Source organism: Homo sapiens, chromosome 10, assembly GCF_000001405.40.
Source record: "Homo sapiens chromosome 10, GRCh38.p14 Primary Assembly".
Classification (NCBI taxonomy): Eukaryota; Metazoa; Chordata; class Mammalia; order Primates; family Hominidae; genus Homo; species Homo sapiens.
The window spans coordinates 105,145,173-105,154,890 of NC_000010.11; the positions used below are offsets into that span (position 1 = coordinate 105,145,173).

General features: G+C 39.5%; 1 protein-coding gene across 2 annotated transcripts in view; it reads left to right on the top strand.

Annotated features, from left to right (window-relative positions):
* Nucleotides 1-9,718, top strand: part of SORCS3 (sortilin related VPS10 domain containing receptor 3) — a 623,953-nt gene that overhangs the window by 503,883 nt on the left and 110,352 nt on the right. For both annotated transcript variants that reach the window (NM_014978.3, XM_011539542.2), the window contains one exon: nt 2,445-2,624. In NM_014978.3, coding sequence (NP_055793.1) covers nt 2,445-2,624 — 180 coding nt within the window. The remainder of the gene's footprint in view (nt 1-2,444; nt 2,625-9,718) is intronic.

Below are 9,718 nucleotides of genomic sequence, written 5' to 3' on the forward strand. Positions count from 1 at the left end.
CACACCAAAGTTATATCCCCACTGATACAGTGTTTAGAAGTTAGCTTCTTGGTTAAGATTAGGTTTAAATTAAGATAAAATTGTAGGTTTATATCTTAGTAATGTTATTTATTAGCTTTGGCAAATTAAGGAATTATCAAACAGATATCTCAGAATCCTGGATACCAGAGAGCAATCTTACTCCAGAGCCTGGAGCACTTGTTCACCAGGTGACACAGCCCCGGGAAAGCATTAACCTAATATGCACTCACAGCAAACCTGGCTGCCTCTAATCCTGACCATGCCCTGGTGTTTTAAGTTGTTCTTTTCCCATTTCTTTTACATTAGTTTAGTCTAAAATAACTTAGCTCATTCATTTTTATGACCAAAACATCTGGGAAAAACCAGGCATTTCTGTTGCATTTTAACAGGGTAAGTGAATTTAATTCGTATTTCCTGCAGCTGTGATTTCCCCTCCTACTGGGTTCTTCGGCATTCATTCCACACCAACACAACACGACTTCATCACACGGTTTTTAAGAGTAAGCTTTTTTTCCCATTTTCAAGCAGCTCAGCAGGAACCTGTAATTCTACAAGGTGTGTAAGCACAAATGAGCAAGTGAGGTCTTAGTCAAGGTGACCCAGACAGTTCAAGGCCAGAGGCTGAGATTTGACAAAGAATCTTCAATAAAAAGATCCAGAACTTGCTTTTCTACTTCTCTCATCTCCAGGTTGTCCAAATCAAATGGGTTTACTCCTTTATAAATCATCTTGGAGGAGCTCTCTGTGGTGCTGACATTACAGACATTGCTGTTTCTTTTTACTTGAAACGGTTTCTAGGAAAGGTTGGTCAAACACAGTAAAGGCTAGACCCTGCCTGATTATTAAGTTACAGTCAACTCCACTCCCCCATCATCCTTTTACCAGTGCTTTCCATCACAGCAACACGGTTGCCTTTCCTTCTGCTATCTATTACTCTTTGGCATATACACCAGTATGTTTATGCAGTTTTTAACTCCTTCCATTTTTTGGCAAATGATTATCCATGTCCTCCTGACTGTGTAAGTTCTCTAGGTAAGGGCTTAAATTTGTGATAATCTTTGTACAGTGCCTACCTACACAGGCAAATGGGCTTCTATAAATTACTTGGCATTGTAAACTACTAGGTGTGATTTTAGAAATGATCCAGACAGAGCAAGACCCTGTCTTTAAATTTTTTTTTAATTAAAAAAATAAAAATGATCCAGTCCGGGATTAAAACTAAAGTGATGTCAGGACCCAGGAAGTTAACATCAGTATGTAAGTGGCGGACCGTAAGAACATATGGATATAGAGGGCTGAGACCCTAACTTGGGGTCCTGACTCCATCTGAAAGACCAGAGACTCTGGTTTTTGGTACAGAATATGGCCAAGCTAAACATTTGTGATTCATATTTACTTCATGAGTCATCAGTTTGAAATCTCTAATCTAGAGGTGATATATCCAGTGACTGGAAACCATCCATTATGTTGGAGTCAGACCACAGAGGTTTAAAAGCTGGTTCTGCCATTTGATAGCCATATAATCTGAAACAGATTGATAAACTTCTGTGTGCCTGAGTTTGCTCTTCAGTAAAATGGGAATAATCATACCACCTCCCTCACAAAATTATTTTCATTTTTAATTGAAAAAATACATTTAGATGGCTTAGAATAGTCCCCAAAGAAATCCAACCTCTTCACTAGGTGAGAAAATTGAAGTTCAGAGAAACTGACACATTCAGCATCATGCAGCTTACTCACAGCAGTGCTTGTATTTTGACCCAGAACATTAAATTCCAGGTTGAGTATCCTTTTCTCTATATCAGTGATCTTCAACATAATTTCATTGGCAGCAGAACCTCCCTTACCTTTTGCTCCTAAAATATTACACAGAATTCCACTGTATACAACAGATGCAAATATTTTCTGCTCTGATTGAAACAGGATTGCAGGTCTAGAGCCCCACTCATTGGTTATACCTCCATGCCACATTTCTGGCAATCCTCATGACTCTGAAGATTTTAAAGAAAACTGTGTAAACCACCATACTACAGAATTTAAAAACATAAATGAATATCTAATGACAAGATAGGCTCTGTCTTCATTGCATGTGTGAGCTTCCTTTAGCAAGGGTGTCTGTCTCTGTTGGCACTAACTCTTAAATTTTAGGTATAACAATAAAAAATGAAAGTAGATGAATCCTTGAAAGCCATGGGAAATGATATCAACCAAAGCCCCTAACACCCATTTTGCTGTCACTTAGCAAGGAACAGAAATCATGAAGCTTATAATTTATAGCCTTGGTTCAACATGGAATTGTTTAACATTGCCTATAACTCAAGCTTTTTCTCAGCAATTTCATAAGTCATAGTAATTACTTGGCATCCCAATGGGCAGAGAGATATGGAGATCTGCTGCCTTACAAGCCTTCCATCTTCTTTCAGGACATGCACATCATCAGTACAGACGAGAACCAAGTATTTGCTGCGGTCCAAGAATGGAACCAGAACGACACGTACAACCTCTACATCTCAGACACGCGTGGGATTTACTTCACTCTGGCCATGGAGAACATCAAGAGCAGCAGAGGTCTAATGGGGAACATCATTATTGAATTGTATGAGGTATGTAGCCAAAATTCTCCTTCCCTTGGGTCTGTCTCTCTTTTTCCTGAGTTTTAATGGTATAAACACAAGCACTGGAGTTCTGGGTTCAGATTCCAGCTGTACCACTTAGCAATTGTATGACTTTGGGCAAGGGACTTCTATATGCCTCAATTCTAGTAAAATAGAGATAAAATATTTACCAAGGAGATTATTGTGAGATGAGAGATGATGGATATACTGCATCTAGTGTAGTGGCTGACTCAACAAAGTTAGTATTCTTGTATGTATAAACAATTGATTACTAGACAGAAATTAAGGTATTTGGCCTAGGTGATTTTTTAAGTAGCTTTGTAAACTCTGTGTTGCTTTTGTGGACCCTGAATGGAGGGAGTGGTGCTACTTATGTGCCTTAAATTATTTGGAAAGTCCTGTTTTATGAACAAATTTTATGGGAAAATAAAAGCGAATATCAGTGGTGGGAATGAGAGTTTTTCTAAGATTCCACCAGATGCCGACATCTATGCAGGGTAAAAAACTGGCCTTGACATAAGTGTGTCACTTATATTAAGCTTGTTAAAAAGTGTGATAACTAATTAAAGAATAATTTACTAAGAAACCAAGTGACTCCATGTAGTAACTGTAGAGAGAAAGAGAGAAAAAAAGAAACTATTTTCAGTGACCTAAAAGATGTGGTACCTTTTATAGTGACAGTATGTGACCTTTGACAGTCCTGGACCCAGTGAAGGAACTTGACTGACCACCTGGATATGGAGGATTGAGTTGAGCAATGAAGGTGTGTCTCATTATCCAATATTCACCAGTAACCAGTGGCCACACCCATACAGACTGTGATGGTTGAGATCATTCACAGAAAGAGATACGTTGTCTATTCTGGGTGGTGGCCTCAGAGCTGGGTGAGCTGTTCCCTTGTGGGTTTTCCTATTGAGGAGTGGGAGTGGCTACATGCATGGGTTTCTACTTTATAGTGGTCTCCTCTAAGCAGTGCCTGTCAAAATCCCAGCAGCCCTAAATTGGTATCTAAGTTGGCTACTCAGTTACTGAGTGATAAGGTTTGGTTCTGTGTCCCTACCCAAATCCCATCTGGAATTGTAGTCCCCACGTGTTGAGGGAGGGACCTAGTGGGAGGTGATTGGATCATAGGGGTAGTTTTCACATACTGTTCTCATGATAGTGAGTGAGTTCTCACAAGAGCTGATGGTTTTAAAGTGTGGAACTTCCTCACTTCCTCTCTCTCTCCTGCCACTATGTAAGACATACCTTGCTTCCCATTTGCTTTCCACTGTGATTGTAAGTTTCCTGAGACTTTCCCAGCCATGCGGAACTGTGAGTCAATCAAACCTCTTTTCTTCATGAATCACCCAGTCTCATAGTATCTTTGTAGCAGTGTGAGAATGGACTAATACACTGAGAGTGGCAGAAATATTTAAGATTGCACCTGTTCTGTTAGGCAGAGAGATGATAACATAAAGGCATGGGGCAAATGAATGTACATTTTAAAAGAAGGAGTGAATGTCATTCGGTAGAAAACAAAATCGTAGAAATACCCTGATTTCCTAGAGAGTAACTGACAAGTGCTGAAATAATTCCCTTAAACAACAAGGTCCCAGTTTTGGAAATGTTCCAGATTGTTTTACAGAGGTGTGGAGACTAGTAGAGATGACTAAGGGGAGTAAATACCTTTGGGAAGCTTACATTTCTATGCCTCTAATCATACCAGGAGGCAGAAATATAACTTTGTTATTGGACAATAAGTCACATCTTGTTTGAGGGTTTGGATTAATGTTCCCAGGACTGAGGCCATTCCAAGTTCCTGTTTGTACAAGTAAAGCCATAGAGATAAGACTGTGATTCATGTCCCTGTGATCAGACCCAAATAGGGGTGGGTGGGCATTGCTGCAGATGACCTTGCAGTCAAGAAATTCTTGTGTCTCTGATCCTCTTGGTACAGTGGGTGAGTTTGCCACTATGCTTCTCTTATTCTAAGAAGGGGTGCCTGAAACTCCTTGGTCATTTACAACAGTGTGACACAGTGATATGGAATGAGGCATGAATCAAAATGAAGAATGTGCCCAGATCCATGCAATTTTTTTCTTTCCACTTAAGTTGGTCTTGTGTTTTCAGTCTTATTGAAGAAAAAAATGCATGGTGTCACTGCATCTATAGAGAAGACATAACAGACAGGGCAACTTTAAAAATAAAACAGCTTTCTTGATCTTGTTTTCCATTCAATTTTAGCAGGATTGATCGCACCCCTGCTTTGTGTTCAAGCCCATGAGGAAGGCAGGAGAGTTATGACTTAGTTTTTACCTTCAGAGAGTTTGCAATCTAGTTTGTTGGGTTTTGAGGGGGTCAATAAACAAAGTTCCTTATTTACCTGGTCAATGCTGGAACCGATTAGGACAGCAACAAAGGGCAAGACAAATGGATATCAAACACAGCTTTATTGCTTTTAAAAATTATGCACAAGGAAGTGGGATTGATAATGCTGTACCCCAGAATTGAATTCATCCATTCAGTCCCAGACAGAAATGATAAATCAAAGACTGTCTTATGGAAGCCTGTTCCTATGACACCGCAGCACTGATGTAAAAAGGATGTGATCTGTGCAGGCAGATCCTTAAAAGAGGGGCAGGGGTATGGGGATGAGCTGTACATGCGCAGTTCTTCTTTTCAACGTTACCACTCTGACTGTCAGTCCTTTTGCCCTGGGGAGGAAATAGTGAAGAAGAAGGAGGCATTCCAAACGTAGGAATGGAATGAGCCAAGGACTGAATGGATGGTGCTGATTTGTGAGAAAGTAAGCTAGCCAGGCTAATTGTGTGGAATAAATGCTTGTCAGGGACAAGAATGAGGGCTGGATAAATAGCTGAATTTCAGATTCTAGAAAACATGTAATACCAAGTGAATAAATTGGAACCTGATGTTATCTAGACCATGACCATACTGAAGATTTTTAGAGGGTAATGCTGTTTTGCACCTGGAGATACATTCTGTGGTTTGGAGATAAAGCTCAATTTAATTGGTCTCTAGGGGTCATTAGAATTTAACCTTCTTTACTGGAAATTCTCACAGAAACTGTGATTATGTACCATACGGCCAGTTAGCAAAGAGACTACAACTTTTCTGGACTCCAAGTGCCCTTGAGTAATGCAACTGAGAAAAACAGTAAGTTTTCACATTCAATTCAGCTAAATTAGCACACTTTTATGGAGTGTATTTTGTTTGATGATGTTAGGACTGGTGCATGAGATTCATAATTACTGGAATGATACAAGTGACTCTATTAGGGTAATTATCACAGTCTAACTTGTATTAGAGGTGTGATTCCACCAGGTTGTGGAGTTACAAAAGAATAATTCTAACTTGAGTAATTTGGAGAGACTTATAGATGAGTTTGGCTTAATTATAGACAAATTGTTGGAAATAAGAAGAGAACCAGAGTCGAATGAGTAGGGATCCTATTTTATGAAATGTTGAGTGGCCTTGTGGAGCAGTGGGGATGAAGATTGTAAATATACTGGTAAAAAGCTGACTGAAGATTCAGGCATTTATGCTATGGGCTAGTATTTCTTTATCTTTTTTCCCCTCATATTTACATACCCAGAAAATATTCGCACGTGTGATGTAGTCCCTTGTGCCAGGTTAATTTGTAACTTTATATTAGAATAGGACATTACACCTGTTTCCCCTTGACTCAAAGGTTCAGAGATGTCTTTAGGTAATTTTCAGATATCAGGTAGCTTGGGCTGACCTTGCCCACTTAAGCCACAGGTATATCACTCCATCTTCTGCATGGACCTCTGAAGCTTCTTCTTGGTAATGGAGAGGAGACAAAGAAAGCAAGAACTTATTTGGAAATTCCCCTTGCAAGCCTTGGCACTGAAAAATCCTTGGACCAATGGAGATCAACCCCACTGAACTCCCCAAAATCTAACAAGGCTGAGATAATTTCCATTTCAAATCTGTTGGAGTTGTCTCCTGCTGTAGAGAGATTCTCCTGCTTGTTCTTTCTCAAATTCCTGCTTCAAAGTACAATGTTGTCATGACTATAATTACATAATTAGGGGAGAAAATAACACTTGAAGGCCAAGTAATAATCTATCTCTTCTTTGAGATGTCAAGCCGACTCCTTCAAAACAAGGCTGGTATTGACAGCGAATGTAGCCTATTGTGTGTACTTACCATTATTCTCGTAACACTCTTTTCATATAGAGCTCTATTGCAGTGTCTTCACATCCCCAGCTATAAACTACATTTCTTTTTAATTACTCTCCCTAATAAATCAAGAAACAAATATTCTTTCCAACACCCGCAGTTATACTATGGCAGCATTCTCTGAGCTGCCGGTGTGATACATTTTCTTCAATGCTCTCCTGGATATTTTGCATCTAACTTATAACTCCTTACAATAATAACCACAGCATACCTGGCAATGCTTTAGACCAGCACTGTCAAATACATACATAAGGTGAGCTACATACACACTTCCACATTTCTGCTTCCCACATTTTATAAAGTAAAAAACAAACAGACAAAATTAATTTTAATAATATTTTTTATTTAAACAAAGTATCTAAAATGTCATTTCAGTATACGTTCAATGTAAACAATTATTTAGTTATTTTATATTTTTCCATACTAATTTTCATAATAAGTCTGCAAAATCCTGGATGTATTTTACATGTCCCATGAATCTCAATTTATATGCTAAATTTTCACCAGAAATACTTGATCGGTATTTAACATTTCATAAATTTACAGTAAAAAAAGAAGATTCACATACCCAAGTTATTCTCAACAAACTTAAAAGTTTGCCAATAACTGAAATGGGTATCAGTTCTTCAATTCAAATTTCTATGGGTTAAAATGAAATAAAATTAAAAATTAGTTTCTTCGTTCCCGTAGCCACATTTCAAGCCATATGTGGCCAGTGGCTACTGTTTTGGATTGCACAGTCGTAAACAACTTATATATTTTTTTCTTATTTATCTCTCACAATATCACATTCTTCATTGTGCCTGTGAGATTACAGAGATGCAGAGAATTTAGTGGCTTGGCTCTGATCACACAGCTAGTGGTGCTACATTTTCAAGAAATCCACGTCTGCTTGACAAACCACTTAGGCTTTTCTCACTATTAATTTTTTTTTGCATTTTTATGGAGGTATAATTTATGTATAGTAAAATTTACCCTTTTAGTATAAGTTCTGTGAGTTTTGATTTGTGCATTCTGGTGTGTAAATTGTGCACAAATCACAATCAAGACATAGAACAGTTCCATTACCCCAAATATTCCCTTATTGCCCTTTTGTAGTCCACCCTTCTCTACCCCAAAGTCACCGACAAACACATACCTGCCCTCTCTTTGTCTTTAGTTTTGCCTTTCCTAGAGGGTGAGTAAATGGAATTATACAGTAGGTAACCTTTTCAGTCTGACTTTTTTTTGCTTAGAATAATGCATTTGAGATTCACCCACATTGTTGAATATATTGGTTCCTTCTGTTTCTGAGCAGCATTCTGTTGTGTGATGTGACAGAGGTTGTTTTTCAATCACCAGCTGAAGACCATTTAGGTTACTTTTTAAAATTTTGTGTGATTATGAATAAAATATCTATAAACATTCTCTTGACCATAAATTTTTATTTCTCATGGGTAAATACTTAGGAGTAGGATTGCTGAGTTGAATGTAAGTATATGTTTATAAGAAGCCACCAAATTATTCCAAAAGTGGCTGTGGGATTTTGCATTTCCACCAGCAAGGTATGAGAGTAGCAGTTGCTTCATATCTTCAGCAACACTTGCTTGGTTTGACAGAGAGAGAGGAGAGAGAGAGAGAGTGTGTGTGTATGTGTGTGTGTGTGTGTGTGTGTGTGTGTTTGTAGCTGTTCCGATGGGGATTTAGTGGTAACTCATCGCAGGTGTGATTTGCTTTTCTTCAGTGACTAAATAACTGGACCCAGTATACCTGGATGGATAAAATGAAACTTCGAGGCTGGGCGCGGTGGCTCACACCTGTAATCCCAGCACTTTGGGAGACCCAGGCGGGCGAATCATGAGGTCAGGATTTTGAGACCAGCCTGGCCAACATGGTGAAACCCCATCTCTACTAAAAATACAAAAAAATAACTGGGCATAGTGACAGTCACCTATAATCCCAGCCACTCAGGAGGCTGAGGCAGGAGAATTGCCTGAACCCAGGAGGCAGAGGTTGCAATGAGCTGAGATGGTGCCACTGCACTCTAGCCCAGGTGACTGAGTGAGACTCCATCTGAAAAAAAAAAAAAAAAAAAGAAACTTCCCATCCAGCCTCAGTATTCTGGTCTCTTTGCCCATCTTATTGATGTTTCCTTGCCTTTCCTCTCCCTAGAGCCTGTCATCTTCCCTCTGCTTTATCAGGACCTTCAGTGACCTTTATCGGGCCAGAAGGACAGCTGCTTAGAGACTCCACAGGGTCTTTTTTCCCTGAACCAACCTTCCTCAGCCCCTCACCACAGGTGGGACTCTAGGGACAGCCCAAGGCAGATCATGGTAATTGCTTTTCTCAGCAGAGCCCTGGCTTCTTTGTCCTGAGGTCTCTGGGAGGTGACCAACAGATGACCATGCCACCTGGACTCAGCATTCCGCCAAGGGGCCTGCTGTCAGTTTCCCTCTGCACTCAAATTGATTCCCAGAGGGAAAGTGGGCCACACAGGCTAGACACCTTGTATTGTTCTCTTCCGTGGGCACCATCACAAGCTGTTACCCTTCTCCCTGGACTGCTGAAATAATCAGCAGCAGCCAAACATCTGATTTCAAACAACAGTGGGTGGAAGTATGTTTAAAGTTAATTCAATGCTTTGTAGCTCCTTGGATGAGGATGAGTAAAAACGCATGTCTCATTCTCCAATTCCTTTACATTGCATTTAGTGAGGGTGCGTAGTCTTCATAATACTTTTGTCTTAGAAATATATGTGTACATACATGTGTACACATACATGCATATATGGGTATGAGTCTACTGGGTTGCAACATAAATGTATTTCTTACTTGGGTTGCAGTCAAAAAGTGTGAAAGCTGTTGGCTTAGGACACACAAAAGCCAAGTGCCTTCCAA